This window comes from Homo sapiens, chromosome 17 (genome assembly GCF_000001405.40).
Source record: "Homo sapiens chromosome 17, GRCh38.p14 Primary Assembly".
Lineage (NCBI taxonomy): Eukaryota > Metazoa > Chordata > Mammalia > Primates > Hominidae > Homo > Homo sapiens.
This window is the reverse complement of record NC_000017.11, coordinates 43,846,817-43,869,426: the sequence shown is the minus strand read 5'-3', so window position 1 is coordinate 43,869,426 and position 22,610 is coordinate 43,846,817. Positions and strand designations below refer to the sequence as shown.

General features: G+C 50.5%; 1 protein-coding gene and 1 long non-coding RNA gene across 11 annotated transcripts, besides 1 other annotated feature; one reads left to right on the top strand and one right to left on the bottom strand.

The window, feature by feature from the left end:
* Positions 2,937-3,109: a silencer, noted in NCBI's record as "fragment chr17:41943686-41943858 (GRCh37/hg19 assembly coordinates)". NCBI's record gives its function as "represses an EF-1alpha promoter that drives an FKBP-Casp9 reporter gene in an ReSE screen in phorbol 12-myristate 13-acetate-treated (for megakaryocytic differentiation) K562 erythroleukemia cells {active_cell/tissue: K562(+PMA)}" and the evidence as "EXISTENCE:reporter gene assay evidence [ECO:0000049][PMID:32094911]".
* CD300LG (CD300 molecule like family member g) lies at positions 5,788-22,251 on the bottom strand. Of its 10 annotated transcripts, none has more exons than XM_006721721.4 (8): positions 22,168-22,251; positions 20,534-20,869; positions 16,414-16,515; positions 15,383-15,620; positions 14,108-14,220; positions 12,271-12,323; positions 8,174-8,293; positions 5,788-7,629 (listed from the first exon to the last, which is right to left on the bottom strand). In XM_006721721.4, the coding sequence occupies exons 1-8, from the start codon at positions 22,208-22,210 to the stop codon at positions 7,516-7,518; spliced, it is 1,119 nt and encodes a 372-aa protein (XP_006721784.1). In that variant the 5' UTR covers positions 22,211-22,251; the 3' UTR covers positions 5,788-7,515. The 10 variants fall into 10 exon arrangements, with proteins under 10 accessions (XP_006721784.1, XP_005257132.1, NP_660316.2 ...); XM_005257075.4 differs by having other exon boundaries at positions 15,383-15,467; NM_145273.4 differs by lacking the exon at positions 8,174-8,293.
* On the top strand, positions 14,837-19,677 carry LOC107985077 (uncharacterized). The gene is made up of 2 exons (XR_001752896.2): positions 14,837-15,016; positions 19,126-19,677. It is a non-coding gene; the product is annotated as an uncharacterized LOC107985077 (long non-coding RNA).
* Positions 22,252-22,610: the final 359 nt, after the last annotated feature.

Sequence of the window (22,610 nt, the reverse complement as noted above, 5' to 3'; positions counted from 1 at the left end):
CCTGGCTAATTTTTTTATTTTTTGCAGAGATGGGGTCTTCTTTGCTTCCCAGGCTAGTTTCAAACTCCTGAGCTCAAACAGTTCTCCCGCCTTGGCCTCCCAAAGCTCTGGGATTACAGGCATCAGCCATCATGCCTGGCCCATGGTTTCTTTTAATCTGGTCTTAAGGTCTCTCTTGACAGTGGCCATAAGCTGAGACAGCAATTTTCTTTCTTTATCTTTTTTTTTTTTTTTTTTGAGACTGGGTCTTGCTCTGTCACCCAGGCTAGAGTGCAGTGGCGCGATCTCGACTCACTGCAGCCTCCACCTCTTGGGTTCAAGTGATTCTCCTGCCTCAGCCTCCTGAGTAGCTGGGATTACAGGCATGTACCACCATGCCCGGCTAATTTTATATTTTTAGTGGAGACAGGGTTTCACCATATTGGCCAGGCTAGTCTCAAACCCCTGGCCTCAAGTGATCCACTGGACTCAGCCTCCCAAAGTGCTGGCATTACAAGTGTGAGCTACTGCGCCCGGTCTGACATAGCAATTTTCTAGGAGAGCCCCAATCAGGGGAAAGTTAAGTTACAGTGTGTAGGTCAGGTGAGACACGATGAGAGAGTGAAACCCAAATGCATGAAACAGAAGAAATTTATTACTTACAGGTCCCAGAGACATTAGGGGCGTCTACTGGTTGCCAATGGGAAGTCTGGAGGTGGCAAGGAGCTCAACCAGTGAGTGAGAGCAGGAGAGAGATGGTGACAGACCTTGGGCCAAAGCCTTTATTGGAGTCCAGGGGTTTACCCAAGCAAGTTTCCCGTAGAGAGTTCTAATTGACGGGTTTAGAGCAAGCAGGCATGAGTTCCATGGAGTCATGCTGTGACTGCGAGGTAGTCACTGTGGCATATTTGCACAGTCCCTGTGTAAGAGGGTCAGTAGGGCAAGTCAGGTAGGTCGCATCTAGCTGTCTCATAGAGAGGTGGTCACCAGGAAGTGGTTGTATGAAGCAGGAACTGGGATCGACCATATTGAGGAACTGCGAGAGGGCAGAGAACTGGAAACTGTGGCTGGAAGGGTGACTAAGCCCTGCTTCTGATATGAGAAAGTCCAGCTTATATGTAAAATGGATGCCAAGGCAAAATAAAATTATAAGAATTCACTACATCAAAAGAGGGCTTTCACCAAAACCTGATCATGCTGGCACCCTGATCTTGGACCTCTAGCCTATAGAACTGTGAGAAATCGATTTCTGTTGTTGAGAAGCCACCAACACTATGGCACTTTGTTATAGCAGCCCAAATTAAGATAAAGACCTAAATAAATAGAGTTATTCATGGGTTGGAATCAATGTTGTTCAGAGGTCAGTTCTCCCCAAACTGATCTATGTAATCAATGTAATCCCAATCAAAATCCTAGCAAGTTTTTTTGGTATAAATTGATAAGCTGATGCTAAAATCCACACGGAAATACTAGAAATCTAAAAGAGCAAAAACAACTTTGATAAAGAACAAAGTTGGAGGATTTATACTACTTGATTTTGAGACATATTATAAAGCTACAGCAATCAAGACAGTGTGGTATTGGCATAAAGATAGATAAATAGGTCAATAGAACAGAAAAGGCCAGAAACAGACTCACACAAATATGTTTAACTGATTTCAAAGTAGTGCAATGTCAATTCAGTAGAGGAAGGACAAGGTAGACTTTTCAACAAATGGTGCTGGAATAGTTGGATATATCCATACCCAAAAAAAGGAAGAAGATGAAGGAAGAAAGGAGGAGGAGGAGAGAAGAAGAAGGAGAAGGAGAAGAAGAAGAAGAAGAAGAAGAAGAAGAAGAAGAAGAAGAAGAAGAAGAAGAAGAAGAAGAAGTTGTTTTACTCACACGTATATGAAAATTAACTCAAGTTCATTCATAAGTCTAAATGTAAAGCCTAAAACTACAACACTTATAGGAGAAAACATAGGAGAAAATCCTTGTGACCCTGGATTAGGCAAAGATTTTTTAAATACAACATCAAAAAGCATGATCCATAAAAGAAAAAATTGACACACTGAACTTCATCAAAATGTCAAACTTCTGCTCTGTGAAAGACTTCTTTTTTTCCCTTTTTCAGTGCAGCAAGCTAAGAAGACCTTTTTAAGAGAATGAAAAGACAAGTCACGCATTGGGAGAAGATAACTGTAAATCACATATTTGATGAAGGATTTATTTCTAGAATATATGAAGAGCTCTCTAAACTCAATAAAAATAGATGAAATATTTGAACAGAAATTTCACCAAAGAAGATAAATGGATGGCAAATTAGCACACAAAAAGATGCTCAAAGTCATTAGTTATCAGGGAGGTATAAATTAAAGCTACAATCTTGGTGCAGTTTATACATTTATTAGAATGGTTAAAATGAAAAAGGCTGATAGTAGTGAGTGTCAGTGGAGGAACTGGAATTCTACATGGCTGGTGGGAATGCAAAATGTTATGACCACTTTGGAAAACATGAGCATATACCTACCATATGGCCCAGATGTTCCACTCCAAGGTATTTACCCAAGAGAAGTGATAGCATGCAAAGACTTGTACATAAATCTTCATAGCAGCTCAATTTGTAATAGCCCCAGACTGGAAAGAACCCAAATACCCATCGACTGGTGAATGAGGATGGGAGTGAGGCAGGATTACAAAGGGGCAGAAGAAAACTTTTGGGGGTAATGGATATATTCATTATCTTGATTGTGGTGACTGTTTCACAGGTATATACATAATACAAAACTTATCCAATAGTATACTCTAAACACGTGCAATTTATTGAATGCGAACTATACTTTTTTTTTTTTTTTTTGAGACAGAGTTTTACTCTTGTTGCCCAGGCTGGAGTGCAATGGTGCGAGCTTGGCTCACTGCAACATCCACCTCCCGGTTTCAAGCAATTCTCCTGCCTCAGCCTCCTGAGTAGCTGGGATTACAGGTATGAGCCACCACGCCCGGCTAATTTTGTATTTTTAGTGGAGACGGGGTTTCACCATATTGGCCAGGCTGGTCTCGAACTCCTGACCTCAGGTGATCTGCCAGCCTCGGCCTCCCAAAGTGCTGGGATTACAGGCGTGACCCAATGTGCCCGTCCCCAGTTATACCTTAATAAAGCTGTTAAAAATAGTAATTAACAATGATGTCCAGTTTGTTGGAAAAAAAAAAAAAGAGAGGGAAAGGACAGAATTAAAAACTGGAAGAAAATGGTCTGCAAGATAGGAGCAAGTGATGGGAGTTAAAGGGTTTGGGGATCCTATATTATTCAAGGAAAAATTAAGGATTGTGAGGATATTAACTGTAGTCTTTGTTGAAAACCTATGTATAATACAAAGTTCAAGATTCAAAATAGAGGATATAACCTCCATACTGTAGAAGGAAAAAGAATGGCATAAGAAAACAAAAATAGAACTTAGTCAATCCAAAAAAAGGCAAGAAAGACAGTAAGGAAAGGGCCACTGGTTTTGTCTCTTCTGTCCCAGCCCATGTGTGATTGCAGATGGGTAGATCTGCTGCTTTGCATCAGACTCAGGGCCTTGGCACTCACATCCAGCCCCATGGTGCCGTCCCAGCTGTCAGACCCAGGTGCTTGCTTGCCACACCTTGAAGTGATACTGGCGGGGAGCTCTTCCCTGCTCCTGGGAAGACTCCCCCAAAGCACATCACAGCCCCTTGCATGTCTTAGGCGCTTTCCACCTTCTCTGTGTCTGTTTTCTTTCCCCCTATATGCCCCTCCCTTACCCACTTCCTGGATGAATTTACAAATTTCTCCTTAATAGACCTCAATGGATTAGAATCATAATCTCCAATTCTTTGTCAAGAGTAAGGTGGGGAAGAGAGGCCTTAAATAATCCATTTTGGTGTTAAAATGTTTCTTTTTGGCTGCCCGCGTGGTGGCTCACACCTGTAATCCCAGCACTCTGGGAGACCGTAGGGGGTGGATCACCTGACGTCAAGAGTTTGAGACCAGCCTGGTCAACATGGTGAAACCTCGTCTCTACTAAAAATATAAAAATTAGCCAGGTGTGGTGGTGCACACCTGTAGTTCCAGCTACTTAGGAGGCAGGAGAATCGCTTGAACCTGGGAGGTGGAGGTTGCAGTGAGCAAGATTGTGCCATTGTACCCCAGCCTGGGCGACAGAGCAAAAACTCCATCTCAAAAAAAAAAAAAAAAGTTTCTTTTAAAGAAATAGCTGGACTGGTAAGTGACAGTTTGTTATTTTTGTTATATTTACTGTCCTAATTTGGCAAAACTAAATGTTTGCAATTCTTTGATGTTCCTCCAATTTTTTCTGAAGTTTTACCTCCCAGCAAAAGTCCCTCATTCTCAGGATAGGTGAGCAGTGACTTGTTGCTTCTTTTTGTTTAAGGGGATTGAATAAAATCTCACGTAAATACCAAAGACTGCAGATCTGAGTATTCAAGTACAAACATCAAACCAAGGTGTATCAAAATGGGGGATTGCAAAGTGTCAACTGGTAAGGGAGTGGTCTTTCTCCCCTACCTGTCAGGAGGGAGCTGGGCCCTCTTGGTGGTACTGTGGGAATAAGAGAGTGTCTCTGAGTAATATTTATGTGTCTCATAAATCCACTGAAACTTGGAATTCCATGGATGCCAATCCTAGGTTGCCTGGGAGAGAGCTCTGCCTCTCAGAATATGTCAATTTATTCAGCCCAGTCTGCAAATGGGTGAGGGATGGGAGTGGGATGGCCAAGCTGACCACCTCCTGGTTCCCAGGAAGCCCCGGCTCCAGTAGGTGAGGAGAGATTCAGAGGACAGGAGGGTTCTTTCCTTCCAGGGAAACCCCAGCCAAGGGATTTTTCAGGGGGGAAGCCTGCTTTTGATGCACTTCTAGGGTGCATTCTGACAGTGTGTGTGCCCAGGTCCCAGCAGAAGATTTGGGACCATGTGAAACTTGCTGCTCCCTATGTCCCAAACACCTTGGCACACACAGTGCCTGGAGCCTGGGTGCAGCACACAGAGTTCGGGCCTGGGAGCTCACTGTCCACCCAGAGAAGGTACTTGGTGCAACCCCAACCCAGAGGCCTCGGGCACAGGCTGGCACCTTCTGGTGAGCTGCTCTAGCTTCATCAGACCAGTTCCACCTCCACCCAGTCCCCCAGGCCCTCGAGGTTCTGATCACAGGGCCATTATTGAACTGTTTCTCCTGCCTTTCCAGCAGGGACAGGTGCAGAGGACTTCAAGAAACACTGATTGCAAGGGTCTGGTGGGGGTGAAATTGGTGCTGCCACTCCAGAAAGCTGTTTAGCAAGAGGCATCAGTAACTTCAAAAATGTTCACTCCCTATGACCTGGCACTTCCATGCACGCAAATCCTTCTTTAAGAAATCTCCCGGCCAGGTGCAGTGGCTCATGCCTGTAATCCCAGCACTTTGGGAGGCTGAGGCAGGCGGATCACTTGAGGTCAGGAGTTCAAGACCTGGCCAACATGGTGAAATCCCGTCTCTACTAAAAATTCGAAAATTAGCGGAGCGTGGCGGCAGATGCCTGCAGTCCCAGCTACTTGGGAGGTTGAGGCAGGAGAATGGCTTGAGTCAGGGAGGTGGAGGTTGCAGTGAGCTGAGATTGCATCACTCAACTCCAACCTGGGCGACAGAGCAAGACTCTGTCTCCAAGAAAAAAAAAAAAGAAAAAGGAAAAGAAATCTCCCAATGCAGATAAACCCCCAGGCAAATTTCACCCACACTTATCTACAATAGCAAAAATGGAAGCAAATTAAATATCGAGTGATAGACTATTGGTTAAATAAATTGAGACACACTGATAGGATGGAATATGCAGCTGATGAACATTTTATTTATAAAAAGGTCTGTAAAACACAGAGAAGTGCTGGAATAAAGTGATGGAACGATAAGGTGGAAAAGGCAGGATACAAAGTTGTATATACAAGATAATTGCTCTGTAAAAAGAACACCGGCAAATTATGTGAAGAAGAAAAGAGTGGAAGGAAGTACAACAAAACGAAATAATGATAGTCTCTGGTGAGACTATGGGTGACATTTTTTTCTTCCTTTTCTTTTTCTCCTCCATCTTTCCAAGTTTTGCATACTGAACAACTCTTAATTTCACTTTTTAAAGGAAATAGGGCCAGACACAGTGGCTCATGCCTGTAATCCCGGCAATTTGGGAGACTGAAGCAGGAGGCTCATTTGAGGTCAGGAGTTCAAGACCAGCCTGGCCAACATGGTGAAACCCCATCTCTACTAAAAGTACAAAAATTAGCCAGGTGTGGTGGTGCGTGCCTGTAATCCCAGCTACTCGGGAGGCTGAGGCAGAAGAATCACTTGAACCCAGGAGGCGGAGTTTGCAGATCGTGCCACTGCACTCCAGCCTGGGCAGCAGCACGAGATTCTGTCTTAAAAAACAATAATAATGGAAAAAGAAAAAAAATAGTAGTTGTGCTACTTTACCCCCACCCCCGACCCCTTCTCCAGGGGGCTGGACTCGGAGTCACCTTCAGGTATCCGCCCTGTTCCTACTCTCCTCTGTGTTAGACACCTACGTGCACTCTGGTTTTCTACTTTTCTCTCTAGCCACCAGAACCCATAGGCAAGTAACCCTTTCCAGACAAGGAAGGAGCCAAGGTTTTCTTCATCATTTTTCCAAAGGCAAGAAGGCATGGCCAGGGAGGGCAAATGGAAAGGCAACCACTCTCTGCCGGTCCTGGGCTTATCCCTGCAATGTGCACCTGACCTGACCAAGGCCTGGACTTAGGCAGGCCTCAGGGGAGTCCCCAGCTGGATCTTGGTGTCGCAGACAGAGCAGATCTTATTGGGGCAGGTGGGAGACGTCACAGCCCAAATGCAGACTCTAAGCTGGAGGGGTCTGAGCGTTCATCAGGCCCACTGGCCCTCAAACTCAAGTGCGACAGTCACTGGGCATTGTTAGAAATTCAGAGTCCTGCACCAAGCCCCAGAGATGGTTTTGGTGGGTCTTGGTGGGGCCCAGGAATCACGTTTTTCACAGGCTTCCTGAAGGGCTGGGATGCAGGTGGTTCAAAGAGAAGCCAGAATCCCAGTCTCACCCCAGCATGCTCCTCTTCATCACCAGCTGATGCAGGAGACCGTGGGACTAAGTCTGAGGACGCCAGGGAGGGAAGACAAGGTGGGGTCTGGAGTGGGAGGAAGGCAGGGTCCGACACTGGGCATGAGGCCCAGGAGTTCCTGGCAGATTGAAACTCAGACCAGATCCACTGAGCCTTGTCTGGCCCTGCTGAGGGTCAGCAGCCTGGTACTCTGCCCAGGGATGTGAACCTATCAGGGATGTCCCAGTCTCCAGCCGGAAGAGCAAGGCCACCGCTCTGGGCTCCAGGGCTGACAAACGCTTCTAGGTCAGGCTGGAACATGCAAGAGGAGAGCCTGGGGAGGGTGGGGAGAGCCCTGGAGTCCGGGCAGCTGGACTCTGAGGCTGAGGTGGAAAGCTTTCGGGAATCGGTGCTGATCCAGCCAGCCATACTGCTTCACTGCTGGCCTGGCCAGGAGGGCCTCCTGCCCTACGCTGAGACAAACTTCGAGAAGCCCAGCTCCTCCTCAGATGTGTGGAGGGGAGGCATCGAGATCACGTCCCCCTCAGGGGCCTGGGAAGGGGCTTCCTTTTCCTCCGCAGTCTGTAAAGACAACAGTGGGGTTTGGAGAGCAGAACCCAGATGAAGGGGTGGGAGGTGTGAGGGGTGGTCCCCAGGTAGCTGCTGCGTCCACCCAGCCTTTTCCACAAGTTCCAGCCCTCCGTCCATCTGCAGAGGCACAGGACCTAACAACTCCCCAGAACTCCCAGGCTTTGATTCATGGCCTCTCATGACCCCAATCCATCCCTCCCCCGGGGTGCCCTCAAGGCCCCAGGCTGGGTTCTGGCGCAGTTGTGGCCTTGAGGGCAGTGCAGCCCACAGCACTGTCAGCTGTGACTCCCAACAAGCTATTCAGGAATTTTCTGGACCGGAAAAAAAGAGGATGTGAGGTCAAAAGCTCTGGCTTCCCAGGTGAAATGGGCTAGGCCTATGGCTGTGAATGGGGAAGGTGGGTAGATGCGGGGGTGTGGGGTTTGGGGAGCAGATGCTGAGGAAAAGGCCTCCTTCCACTTCCTCTAATTGTCAGAGTGGAGGCAGGCAAGGTGGCTCCTCAGCCCCTCCCTTCCCAGGGCCCTTCTGTCCATACTTGGCTTAGATACTGGATCTCTGTGTAGAGGCTGGGAGAGGGCTCGGGGATGGTGAGAGACCCCATGGGCCCTGCAAGGTTGATCACAGCGTCCTCTGGGTCCCGGCCATTCCCCAGTGGCTGTAACAGAGACTTGGTCAGAACAGCCTGTTCTTGGCAGCAGGGATGGTCTGCTAGCCCAGCCAAGCCCAAGCAAGATGAGGGAAACGTGGGAGGGGTGGGCAAGGCAGGGAGGTGCCGGGAGGGGAGAATACTAAGCTCCTGGATGCCTCTGCCACTTCCTTCCTTCCTGTCTTGTCCAAGGAAGGACAAGCTGTCTCACCTCTCTGAAGCTCAGTTTCCTCAGCTGTAAAACTAGGTAAGAATTTGTCCTTTGGGATTATAATATTCATAATAGCATCCTACCACTCAACCAATGAGAAATTCTGGAATGACTTATTTGTTTTCATTATTTTCTATCCTTTAAAGCAGAAAGATCATGCAGGCTGCAGGTTCTTTGTAACAGGCCAAGAGACAGCAAAGTTGGACACGCCAAAGATTCGTCGAATAACAAGGGACACATGAAACATTCTTGAGATGATGGGTCTGAGCAATCCATTATCCATCAGATGAGGAGACCACGGCCCAGGGAAGACAGCAGGTAGTCCAGGGTCAGTGGGGAAGCCCATATTCTGACCCGGGCCTGGCTGCTCCCATGGGTCCTCAGATCAGGAACGCCAGGCCCGTCCATCTCAGGCCTTGCCCTAGCAGGTGGGCGGAGCAGAGGCTGGAGCCGGCCAAGCTCCCCAGCCAAGACTCCCAAGGCCACAGGCTGCCCTGGGGTTTCCTGGACAGTGAATCCCATGGCCAAATGGGCACTGATGCCAGAGAAAGAAGCTCCCATTTTCTGGGCATGTATAGGGTATATCATCTCACTCTTTCCTATTTACAACTATGTGAGCTATGGCAACAGGGGCTCAGAGAGGTGATGCAACCTGCTTGACATCACACAGCTGGCACATGGCTGAGCTGGGACTCATACTGGAGACTGTCTGACTGCAGACCCAAGCTCTTTCCCTATACCCTGCTGCCATCCGGGCAGGGTGTGTGACACATTCCTCTTGGGCTCGGTGTCCATGGTCTACTAACCGGGGCCCAGCTTCTCTCAATACCTAGCTGCTGTGGATGGGGGCAGAGGCAGATGTTTGAGCCAAATCTTGTTAGAAATGCTAAGATGAAGCCTGGGTGTGGTGGCTCTTGCCTGTAATCCCAACACTTTGGGAGGCTGAGGCTAGAGGACCACTTGAGCCCAGCAATTTGAGACCAACCTGGGCAACATAGTGAGACCCCATTTCTCTAAAACCTTAAATTAAAAAGATAAAATATATACCAAAGAAAAGAAACACAGGGATGACATCTTCAGCCTTCTGGGGACAAGGTAGGAATTAGAGCAGAATTCCTTGGGGGAAGTGTGGGTGGTGGATGAGGGCACTGGGAGGGGTAAGGCAATTCCCAAATGCTGCCACTTAGGGCCCTTGTCCCTCCTAGCCCTGCCCATGGTGAGGACAGAGGGGGCCTTGGTGCAGGGCAGACCTGGGGCTACACCAGAGGACTCCTGACATCAGACCCATGAGTCCATATTTACAGCTTTGCAATCTGGTTTTAACCCAGCCACTGCTGACCCTGGACCACCAGCAGCTGCAGAAGTGTCACCTGTTCCAGGGTGACTGAGTTTGAGGAAAGAGCCTCGCAGTGCAGAGGCCAAACGGCACACCTAGGCAGCAGCCAGGCCCACTATCGCAAGTCTGGTGTGATTTGCAACCTCTCCCCTGCCCCTCTGCCTCCACTGTGGACGATCGGCCCTGTTCCAGCAAGCATGGAGGCATTTTCTGGGTTGCTAAATATGCAAGATATATATCAGAGCTCTGCTTCTAGGTACTAGTAATAAACCTAATAAAGAAAGAGGGAAGTCTTGGGAAGCCAGGGCTGAGTTCTGATCGGAGCTTAGCAGGCTATTCATTTCCAGGAGTGAGGGTCTGCAGCTGTCCCAGGGTCTTTCTCCTGAGTCTGGGGGAGGAGTCTTGGGCTGCGAACTTGGCTCCATTCCTCAAACCCCTTGTACTTCAGTGCAGCGGGGTGGAGGACGCAGAGGGCTCTGCAGCCAGCCCCATAGACCTGTCAGCCTCCCCAGTTCTGCCTCTTTCAGGCTGGGTCACTGGGCAATTTCCCTTTTCTCTCTGAGCCTGTATTTCTTCATCTGCAAAATGAAGGGGATACTAAACTCTACCTCGTATGGGAATGATGAGGATTCGTTGGCATATATAAAGCCCCTGACACGTAGTAGGTGTTCAATAAAAGATGAGGCAGACGAATGGATGGATGGCAGTCCTTCTAGCAAGATCTCTTAGGGAAAGAAAATGCTGGTCTGACCCCTAAGACTTCCCTCAGGGTTTTCACACCCCTGTGAGGCCTCTCAAAGTATAAGTAATGCATCCCCCTCCCTCTTTGACCCGAATGTGGACAAAGAAAGCCCCAAACCCCTTCAATTCCATCTCCAGACTCTGCTAAATCCTATGGAGAAGCCACAAGGGAAATAATCAAGAAAAAGCAGAAGCACCCACCTGATCGTGTTTACAGGGTTCTTGCCTCTGACCCTCTTGGGAGGCCCTGTTCCATCTTTCCCTCAACAAGGGGCCGCCCCCTAGAGCCCCTCTGCCTGCTGGCCCTGTGCCCCTTCCTGTCCCCTCCCTCTTCAGCAGAGCCAGGGTCAGGAGCCTCAGGCAGGAAAAAGCCCAAAGCAGCCCTTCTCAGGGTTGCCAGAAGGCAGTAGCATGGGAGCTGTGGCTGGTTCCGGCGCTCTCAGCCTCCTTGGACCCCAGCCCCTCTTCTGGAGCTAGGTGGGGTGAGACCCAGGCCCTAGCCCGCAGAGCCAGGAGGCCGGGCTTGGAGGTGGCCAGTGGCACCCACCGTCCATCCATCCGTGTGTCTCCATGACTTTTCCCTTACTCTCCTCTGCTACCTTTGGCCCTGTTGAGCTTCCTGAGACAACAACAGCTGCTTCCTAAGCCACAGCCCAAAGTCCCATTTCCACCCCAGACCCTCCTTGGGGTGACCAGGCCTGAGTCTTTTGTCCTCACTGGCGCCAGGAAAGAAGGCAATGGTAGCTCCGCTTTCCTGCCCTTGTGTTTAAAGGAATGGAGTGGAGGCATCTCAGTAAACAGCAGAGGGAGGAGGGGCCAGGAGGGGCTTCTGTTGCCTGAAGTGCGATGCTGCAGCCCCCTCCGTTGGAGTGCTGGCCTCGGAGGGCACAGTCTCTTCTTGCAGCAGTAGCCTTGGGGCAGGTTCCCAGCTCCAGACAATGGGCACAGGGACCCTTATTCTCTTGCCCCTGGTCCCCAGAGCACCACCCTCAGCCTGGGTCCCAGAGCAGCCACACCACCTTGGTCTCAGAGCCAAGGCAGGCTCAGAGAAAACATCAGGGAGTTCTGGAAAGAGAAGAGCAGGAGTCAAGAAATCTGGGTCCTGTTCTCTGTTTGGGCCACCACCTGCTGTGTGACCATGGGCAAGACCTTTACCCTCTCTGGGCCTCAGTCTCATCTTTTGTAAAAGCACACTAGAGTTTGTAGCACTGCCAGAGTCCCTGGACCCCACCCCTGGAGGGTTCAGCTGGGTCTGGGGCCCTGGAGAGTGCATCTCTAACAGCTCCCTGACCCCTGGGCGTTCTGAAAGGCGATTTGCTTCAAACTGAGAGAAAAGTCAGGCTAGAGATCTCAAAGGCTTCATCTGGATCCAGCTCTGATGTTCTGTGATTCTAAAAGGGGGGATGGAAAGAAGGCGCCTGGAGAAGATGCTCACATGGCTCCTGGAGCCCACCCTGCCTGGCACCTGGCGGGAAATCAGGTTCCCACCTGTGAGTCCCCCATGGGCACTGTGTCCGGCTCACACCCTGAAGGGCTGATCTTGGGGCTCACACACATTCCTCCAAGGTGGGGAGCAAGCGCTGCCTCTAGGTCAGGCAAGGAGGACCAGGTAGGAAGTCACAGAGGCAAAGCCCAGGAATCTTGACTTCCAGCCCCAAGGGGATCTGAGCTTGGGCTTCCATATGCCTCTGTCCTTACCAAGCGTGAGAGGCAGAACTTCTCGTTCCTCTGTGTCTCCGTGGCCTGTTGAGCTGAAAGAGATGTAGAAGGAGGAGCCCCTTGAAGCCAGGAGTAGCCGGGAGTGGCCTGTAGCTGCTCCCAGAAAGGTGGACTGGCCCCCTTGCACACGGGAGCAGGGGCTTCCCAGAGGGAGGAGGCAGCCAGATGGGCAGAGGAGCCCCTTCCAGCTTAGCCCCTTGGGAATGACCCAGTCTTCTGAGATCAGTGCATGGAGATTATCTCATGAGGGTCAGAAACTGGCTGGGAAAATAAATCTGTGTGCTAAGGTCACTGCTACTTAAGCCTTAGTGTGCACATAGGACCCCCTGGATGTTTTTGTACAGTGCAGAGTCTAATTCAGTAGGCTGGGGTGAGGGTCTGAGGGTCTGCATTTCTAACAGGCTACCAAGGGTTGCCACCGCTGCTAGCTGGCAATCAAAGTTTGAGATGCAAGGTGCTAAGTGGCTCTGAGGTTGTGACCAGGAATGCTCCCACCCTGGCTTCTTCAGAGGGGACCTGGACAAAGCCCACATTTCCTCCTAGGAGCCACACATGGAAGGGACAGAAAGCAGGCCCAGGATTCCCCTGTGGCCGCCTCCATGGGTATGACATTGTGATTATCTTCCCGGCTCCACCACTTCTTAGCTATGCAAACAAAGGGCAAGCTGCTTAACCACTCTGTGCCTCAGTTTCTCCCCCTGGAAAATGGGTGTACTCCACAGTGTGGAGATTAAAGGGGATAAGCAAGATAAGCTGGGGATAGTGGCTGGCACATGGTAGCTCTTATTACTGAGATTTTGGTTAATCCTTTTAGTCTTTGCCATCCAGCACGGGAGCCGGGAGCTGCACATGGCCATCAGGCACTGAAATGTGACTACTTCATGTTAGACTGGGTTTTGATGGCTCAGTATGAAAAACATGGAAGTAGAATATGTATCATTGATATTTTCATATTGATTCCATATCAAAATGATAATGTTTGGGATATATTGGGTTAAATAAAGTACATTATTAAAATTAACTTCACTAGATTGGGCGTAGTGGCTCATGCCTGTAGTCCTAGTTACTCGGGAGGCTGAGGCAGGAGGATCGCTTGAGCCATGGAGTTCAAGGCTGCAGTGAGCCATGATCACACCACTGCACTCCAGCCTGGGCAACAGAGTTAGACCCTATGTCTAAAAAATAAGTAATTAAAATAAAATAAAATACACTTAAGTGCACTCATTTCTTTTTACTTTTTTTCATGTGGCTATTCAAAAGTTTTAAATTACATTTGTGGCTTGTATTCTATTTCTGTTTGATGTATATCTGTGATTTGAGGTAAATGAGGCTTAGGGCAGTTAGGTGACTTGCCTGACGTCACACAGCTAAAAAGTGGCAGAGCTGGGATTTGAGCCCCAGCCTATGGAAGGGGCTGAGCAGCTCTAGAGACCCAGTGGCAGGAGTGGGGTTACAATGTCTGTCCTGCTCAAATTCAAGTGCTTGGTCCTGCACTGCCCCTGGCAGTTGGTTCCCACACAAGGAGCTGGCAATGAATTCCCTGGGATCAATAGGTAGAGAAGTGCTTGATCAGTTTAGACAGGCAGGAAGAAGCTGAGAACCCTTCATTCTCCCATTTCCCCTTGTGAATTACTTTCCTAATGTTGACTACCTCGTGGCTCCTTCAGAAGGGAGGCCACAGCTCCTGATGCTCATATCTCAGACAGACACGCTGAGACCCACAGGGTCTTTCCAGGGCTGGATGGGGAGCTGCAGGTCTCAGTGAGGTCCCTGGCCCAGTGAGCCTCCCGCCTTCCTGCCGCCCACCTTTGCTCACCTTCCTTTCTCCACAGGAGCAGGTGGCTGCAGAAGGCGATCAGGCCTGCGGCTGACAGAAGGCTCAGCAGCACCAGGACTGGGGCCAGTATGCGGACCATCGGGATGGACACCCTGGAGACGAGACGCAAGGAGCCTAGTGGCTGTTACCAGATAAGCCAGAGTCTATGTCCTTTGGGGGTCCCAGGCACAGGCTGAGAAAGCCAATCCCTAGTGTGGAATCCAATTCAATGCAGCAGAGACTTGTGGGGGGTGGTGGTGCGGGGGGGTGGTATTTAGTGCTACTGGCTCTTGACAAACATTATGTAATTAGCGCAGACCCCGGAGCCAGGCTGTCTAGGTTCAAACTCTAGCTCCACCACCTTTCTATACCTTGGATAAGTGACTAAACCTCCCAGGGTGTCAATTTCCTCCTCTGTAAAATGGCTGTGGTGAGGATCAAATGGGTGAGGATGTGTAAAGCGCATAGTTCAGTGCCACACACATGCCAGGCACCACGTCAATGTTAGCTGTTAAATTCCACAACCCCTGTATAACTAGGTAGGAGTGGATCAATTTCACACTGGAGAAACTGACACCTGAAGCAATGAGCGACTCGTTAGGTCATGCAGTGGTGTGTGGGGAAGTTCCCGGTGGCCTGTATCTGGGCTGGTGTCACTGGCATGTGGGGCATCCTGGCATTCTTACTGTGAGTCAAGCCATGTCCTTTCTCTCTCCCAAGGAGATCAGAGGGCACTAGGGACCACGATGTCCCATCAGCCCTGTCAGGTGTGGAACGGATCCCCGCCCCCATTGCCAACCCAGGATTCACTTTCAGCAGGGCCTGAACCTGCCAGCAGCTGCCTGGATGTCGGTAGCCAAGTGCATTTACAACCCCCAAGAACCAATCCTTCAGGCTGGGACTCCAGTTGTAAGGCAAAAAATTGTTTTCTTTTGGACTCTGAGTTTTCATGTTTGGCACAGGGCTTAGTGCAAAGTATACAGGCAAAAGCCCCAGAACTGGGGTGGCCGTCCCTGAGGCTGGGGCAGGGAGAGAGGTCAGGACTGGGATCCTGGTGGACCCTTCACACTGGACAGGCAGCAGAGCTGCTGGCTCCTATAGTACAAGCTGTCCACTGCTCAAGGGCCCCTGTGAGGGACTCTCTGTGCTGCAGGCTGTGGCCATGACAAGAGGATGCGTCCGCTTAGAGGAAAGAGTGTTGAGTTCCTATTTTCTCAAAGGCACCTTATGGTTTAGTGATGGCTTGAAAGGGGATGTTGGTCACCTGGGGCTCACCTGGGCTTAGAGCTGCCACTGCTGAGAGCTGGACTGGTGTCCTCTGCTGAGGTGGAGTCCAGCTGCATGGGGGGGCGGGAGCTCCCTGCAGGAGGAGAGGTCGCTGGGTGAGGAGAGGTTCCTGTGTACTGAGAAGTCCTTTCGTGCCCGTACTGGGAAGTCCCTGGCAATGGAGGGGCCTCAGCCCCTGTCTTCCCCTGCTTGGCTGTGGTGGCTGCCGGGTAGAGCCCAGGAGAAGCTACAAGTCCAAAAGCAATGCCTCAGCATCCTTCCTGACCCTTGCATCCCAGCATCCCTGACTTCTGACCCTGGACCCCTGAACCCTAGCCTCCCTGGGACCCGTTTCTCGGAACATCCCCAGCTAAAGGATACCCCAGTAAGCAAACAGATCTAGATGAAGCCACTTTGAGGAAGGAGACCGTAGATCAGGCACACCCCACAGCTGTGCATGATGTTCAGTCTCTTTCTGTGCCCACAGCTTGTTGCCTCTGTGAGGAGGTATAAGCACTCCCCTTCCCCGCTTCCATGACCCTTTCCAGTGACCATTCAGTGGACACCTTCCTGCCCTCCCCCTACAGTCCCAGTCAATTGTCACCTCCTTCCTCACCAGAAGGGCAGGTCCTCCCCTCACCACCATGTGCCCCCTCCCCAACCACCCGTGCCTCAGTAAGGCCTTGACTTCCTTCTGCAGCCATGAGACCAGGAAGGGCAGGGTGGCAGGATGAGTCCAGAGGTCAGGGCCCAAGGCCTGGCCTTTCTGGCTTGCCCCCGAGACTCTGGATGGCGCAGACAGAATATGAGCTTTGGGGTCAGGCTGTGACCACTTCTGGGATCTGGCACTTCTTGTGTGACCCTGAGCAAGTGACCTAACCCTGCTGAGCCTCCACTTCCACAGCTGGACAACCCAGCTCCCAGGCTTGTGGGGACACCTAGGTGGCCATAAACTATTGTGTCTGGTACCAGGCAGGCACTCACTGGCTGCTTCTGTAAGAAGGGTGGCAAGGGAAGGGGCGGAATTGCCATTCACTCACTCAATCCTGGGGGCTGGGTTTGCTGAGCTTTTGCCTTGGGCTGCAGGCGTGTTGTAGCCAGAGGCTGGAAGGTGGGAGAAGGGGAGGGAGGACAGCAGGGTCCTAGAGGAAAGGGAAAGGCTGCTCTCAGGGGTGGCACCGCTCTGAACCCCTTTTCCTTCCTTGGGAGCAGCTGGCAGTTTTCCTACCCCCCACCTCAGCACAGAGCACTGCCATCTTTCGCCTCGGCCAACCAGGAGCCACGTGGCGGGTTCCAGCAGATCCCTGGTCTTCTACTCCTGCAGCCCCCTGGCCTCGCGCCTAGCTCAGAGCCTCAAACCCACCTGCCTCTCAGCCTGCTTCTTCCCTGCCACCCTTCACACTACTCCAGTTTTGTCTCAAAAGTCTGTGTTGGATCCCATCCCTCTCTGCCTTAGAACAGTCACTGGCTCTCCATTGCCTAAAAGCCAAAGTTCAAACTTTTTAGTATGCCTTTCGAGGCCTCTTAAACTCAGGCTTCAGGCCGGGTGTGGTGGCTCACACTTGTAATCTCAGCATTTTGGGAGGCCAAGGCTGGTGGATCACGTGAGGTCAGGAGTTCGAGACCAGCCTGGCCAACACGGTGAAACCCCCTCTCTACTAAAAATACAAAATTAGCTGGGTATGGTGGAGCATGCCTGTAATCCCAGCTACTTGGGAGGCTGAGGCAGGAGAATTGCTTGAACCCGGGAGGGAGAGGTTGCGGTGATTGCAGTGAGCCAAGATTGCGCCACTGCACTCCAGCCTGGGCAACAACAGCAAAACTTCGTCTCTAAAAAAAAAAAAAAGCAAAGAACAAAACTCAGGCTTTGAGGCTTTGAACCACCTTGTCAGCTTCGCCTCTTTCTCTGTTCGGTGCTCCAGCCATAGAGTCATCCTCTATTCCCGACTAAACCAGCCTCCTGCCCACCTCCGTGCCTTGGACATGCTGTTCCTCTGTGTGCGATGCCTTTCCTTTCCATCTCTGCCTAAAGCACTTCTTTCTGTCCTTCAGCACAAGCTCAAGGTCAACTCCTCTGTAATGTCTTCCCTGGAAGCAGCGAATCTCTTTTTCCTCTGTGCACTCACAGTCCCCTGTGCGTGCCTCCAGTGGCGCTAATGCTCACTTACACTGCAATTTCTTGTGTACTGGGTCTCCCTGCTAGGCTGAGACTCCTTAAAGGCAAGATGCCTATCCTCTTGGGAGGCCAAGGCAGGCAGCTCACAAGGTCAGGAGATCGAGACCATCCTGGCTAACACGTGAAACCCTGTCTCTACTAAAAATACAAAAAATTAGCCGAGATCGCGCCACTGCACTCCAGCCTGGGCGACAGAGCGAGACTCCGTCTCAAAAAAAAAAAAAAAAAAAAAAAAAATTCCTGTCCTCTGTGCCCAGCACAGTGGGCAGAAGCCTGATGCAACCAACTCCCCAGGAGCTACTCCGGTCCCCACTTCCCCAAGTCCATCTGTCACTTCCCCAGTCCTTGCTGACTGTGTGCCATCCTGGACTCTCCCTCTTTCTCCACCACTTTCTCTTCTACAGATTGAGTATCCCCTATCCAAAAATGCTTGGGAACAGAAGTGTTTCAGATTTCAGAATATTTGCATTATATCTGCCGATTCAGCATCCCTAATCCAGGAATCTGAAATCCAAAATGCCCCAGTGAGCATTTCCTTTGTGTGTGTGATGCTGGCACACAAAAAGTTTCGGACTTTGGAGTATTTTGCATTTTTGGATTAGGGATACTCAATCTGTAACACTAGGTCAGTTTATTCTTGGATTTTTCTAAGTAGATGATCAAATCTTTTGCAAATACAGAGTATTTATCTTTTCCTTTCCAACATTTATACTTCTTCTTCTTTTTTTTTTTTTTTTTTTTTTTGAGACTGAGTCTGGCTCTGTTGACCAGGCTGGAGTGCAGTGGCACGATCTTGGCTCACTGCAACCTCCGCCTCCCGGGTTGAAGCAATTCTCTGCCTCAGCCTCCTGAGTAGCTGGGATTACAGGCACCTGCCACTATGCCCGGCTAATTTTTATATTTTTAGTAGAGACGGGGTTTCACCATTTTGGCCAGGCTGGTCTTGAACTCCTGACCTCGTGATCCACCCGCCTTGACCTCCCAAAGTGCTGGGATTACAGGCGTGAGCCACCATGCCGGGACTTATACTTCTTAATCTTGCATATTTCATTGCCTAGGGCCTTCAGGCAAAGATGAATAAAAGAAAATGATAGTAGGCTGGCTGGGCACAGTGGCTTCTGCCAGTAATCTCAGCACTTTGAGAGGCTGAGGCAGGCAGATGGCTTGAGTCCAGAAGTTTGAGACCAGACAGGCCAATATGGCGAAACCACATCTTAAAAAAAAAACAAAAAACCAAAATGTAGCCAGGCATAGTGACTTGTGCCTGTGGTCCCAGCTACTCTGGAGGCTGAGGTAGGAGGATTACTTGAGCCTGGGAGGCAGAGGTTGTAATGAGCCAAGATTGTGTCACTGCACTCCCGTCTGGATGACAGAGTGAGACCCCATCTCAGAAAAATGAATGAATGAATGAATGAATGAATGAATAAAAATAAATAAATAAAAAGAAAAGAAATGATAGTGGCTACATTTGTCTTTTTCTGACTTTCTTAGAAATTCTTCTCATGGTTCACCATACTCAATGGTGTGCTGGAGATGGCTCGCACTGACTCACAAGAGCTCACTGTTAACTTTTCAGGAGTTGGTGAGATCGTGTTAAACTGTCGATGGCTGGAAATTGGCCATGGGAATTGGACCACAGAAATGGACACCACAGAAATTGGAAAACACCACAAAATGACAGCATCCCCAGCCTGTTAAACATTTACCAGCACATCACTGTCGTCAGTCTTCTTCATTTTCAACATCCCAACTGCCATCAGAGAGAGGCCAATAGAGTCCGATATAGGACGATAATATAGCAATACACATGTCATACACAAATAAAGAATTACAAATGAGGGTAAACCTAAAACACAAGCGAACTTGATCATAACTGGTAGAAATGACATGTGAACACTGATAAGAATTGGAAGAGATAAGAGAATCTTGTAAATAATGAAGAACAGATTCAATGTGGTTCGATGCTGCTGCTATTTGGCAAGTTTAACTTTATTTCCTCAAATTAAAGATCCATGGATAAAGGAATAAAAAAAAAATAGGGGCTATGGTGGTAGGGATGGGCCTGGGATTGGGATAGGTCCCAGCTATGGGGCTAGGAGAGGAATAAAGCAGACATCAAAGCTGGAAACGACTTGTGTTTGAATCCCAGTTCCATCACTTCCTGCTGTGAGATCTTGGGCAAATCACTTAGTCTCTTGGAGCCTCAGTCCCTCATCCGTGAAATGGGGATACAAAGATGTACCTCGCCCACACTGGCCAGCAGACCAAGGCTCCCACTCCCCTGGGCCCTCTCTGGCTTCTTTCTCCTTAGCTCAGCAGGTCCACTTGGGGTTCTGGGCTCCCAGAGAGGTGCTTTATCCCCTACCCAGGCCCCATAGCTCCAGCCCCGGCCCCCTAGTGTCCCTGCATTTAACGATCCCTCCTTCAGGCATCCTACCCAGAGGCTGGTTCCCAGGCACTCTAGCACCTGTGGCTGGACTTCAATATCTGGGGAGGTGGAGGCCAGGAGGGGAGAGTTGAGGGCACAAGCAGGGCGAGGCCAGCATGTCCAGGGTGATGCTGTGGGCTGGGTCTGGAATGCAGCAATGGTTGGCCCAGCCTCGGGAGGCCTCAGGAATATCTCTGACACCAGGCGAGGAGTCTTCTTTATCCCCTGATATGTCTATCTTGTACCCAGCCTATGGAAATCTCCCTCCAGCACACCTGGGCAGAAAGGAAAGGCGCCGAGCCCAGCCCTGGACAGATCTGGGTCCGGTCCTGCTCTGACATCTACTACTGGTGTGACCTCGGGCAGCAAGAGTGAGACAATGGCCAAGACTCAGGCGGCTCCTTCTGTGCCCCAAGCCTTGCTCGGTGCTTGACCTGCATGATCTCCCTGAGGACTCAGTGCCCATAATGTTGGTACCAGGATTATGCCCCACCACCCCTCCCTCTTCCCTCTGCAGCTCCTGTCCCCAGCCTGGGGAAGGAGAGATATCTGTTACCTGGAAAGACGAACAGAGAGATCAGTAAAGACTCATCGGGGCCCCGTTTTTCGACCCCACACCAGTACTCCCCAGCGTCTTGCAGGGTGAGGTTCCACAGGGTCACAATGAGCGAGAGCTCCTGGCGGCTGTCACGGATGGACACCCTGCCCTTCATTGTCTCCTGGCCTTCTTCTTCTGCATAGATGGTGCCAGAGCAGCGAGAGAAGAGGATCCCACCCTTCCTGCACCAGTACTTCCGGTGGTCCCTCAGCTCTTCCCTGTAGGTGCACTGCAGGGACACAGTGTCCCCTTCGAACCCGCTGATTTCCTCTGGGCCCTCCAGGGCTTCATAACCTAAAATCAGAGCAGGAGTGGAGGTTGGAAAAACCAGGCTCCATGTACCAAGGTCAAGGCCAGAGCTTCCATTTTAGGAGGAAGAAGGAAGGCTTTTCTCAGTCATCCCTTCTGGGGACAGCCTTGGAAGAGCCATTACTAACCTCCCACGCTGGGGGAACTTGGGGCAGGGCTGTTGCTGTTTCCCTAACCCTGGCCCATTGAGGAATTGGGGTGCAGGGGTGGCGTTCTAGATTCAGATAGAATCTGACAGCCAGATAGCCAGCAGGGTTTCTGAGTGTTTTGTTTTGTTTTGTTTGTTTGTTTGTTTGTTTTTGAGATGGAGTCTCACTTTGCCGCCCAGGCTGGAGTGCAGTGGCCCGATGTCTGCTCACTGAAACTTCTGCCTCCCGGGTTCAGGTGATTCTCCTGCCTCAGCCTCCTGAGTACCTGGGACTACAGCCACGTGCTGCCATGCCCGGCTAATTTTTTGTATTTTTAGTAGAGACGGGGTTTCACCGTGTTAGCCAGGATGGTCTTGATCTCCTGACCTTGTGATCCGTCCGCCTCAGCCTCCCAAAGAGCTTGGATTACAGGCGTGAGCCACCGTGCCTGGTTTTGTTTTGTTTTTAGACAGGATCTCACTCTGTTGCCCAGGCTGGAGGGCAATGGTGCTCATGGCTCACTGTAGCCTTGACCTCTGGGGCTCAAGCGATCCTCCCACCTTAGCCTCCCACTAGCTAGGACTACAAGTGTGCACCACCATGCCTGGCTAATTTTGTTTGTTTGTTTGTTTGTTTGTTTGTAGAGATGGGGTCTCACTATTGCCAACTGAACAACTGACATCAGTTGTAGGATTTATCCTGATTTTAAGTGTTAGAAGGTAAAGAAAAAGAAAGCAAAAGAATTGATGAAACGTGATAATTCTTCATCTTTCAGGGTTGTGGGGAGAGGCATAGCCGAAATTCAACAAATATTTGCTGAGTTTAACAGGGCAACCAGATGGGGTGTCTTGTCCGCCTCCAGGCTTGGCACAGGGTAGAAAAATTAAGATTAGAGAGGCAAAGCAACTCTCACAGCCACATTGCCATGAGGGGAAACCCACAGGTCTGGAGAAAACCTGGCTCTAGGTTCCAGAAACAGCAAGTGCGGCCCCGGCGCCACCCCCACCTCCCCCCACCCCCAGCCCGCCCCGCTCCCCTAGGGCTGAGGAGGCTGAGGATAGGTGGGGTGGGGCTATCAGTCAGTCAAGAGGTCCTTTCCCTGCAGACCACAAGGGTGAGCCCCACATCCCTCCCGAGACCCTCTCCCCATCTCACCTGGGAGCAGCAGGCAACCCCATAGCAGGACCAGAAGCCGCATTCTGGGCGCTGGACACCGTGGGAGCAGACGCTGGGAACTGTGAGCTCCTCTTCAGTCACACGGGTCTTTAACTTTCTCTAGTCGCGTGAAACCAGGCCAAGGAAGCGAGGGGAGGGGCGTGTGGGTCATCCCTCCGCAGGCCCAGCCGGGGAGGCGCCTCTGCCTTCCCTTTTCTGAGCGCCCACGCGTGCCTACCCCAGGGCTCACCTTCCAGGACTGAAAACCCACACCAGAGTTTCTCCTAAACTCGTGCCCCTTCAAGGGGGCCTTAACCTGTGGTCCGTGCGCCCTAAGGGGTCTGTAAGTCGAATTCGCATGGGAAAAAGTTACATATTGACTTTCATCAACTTCTAATATTTAGCTTTTCCTCTTATTCAGAGTGTACTGTTAGCAGTACCTG

Coding starts and splice junctions, on each gene's coding strand:
- CD300LG (XM_006721721.4), bottom strand. CDS start 22,210: ATGCGGCTTCTGGTCCTGCTATGGGGTTGCCTGCTGCTCCCAG. Junction 20,870..22,167: donor GGGTTGCCTGCTGCTCCCAG/GTGAGATGGGGA, acceptor CTCTGATTTTAG/GTTATGAAGCCCTGGAGGGC. Junction 14,221..15,382: donor AGTGGCAGCTCTAAGCCCAG/GTGAGCCCCAGG, acceptor TCTCGTCTCCAG/GGTGTCCATCCCGATGGTCC.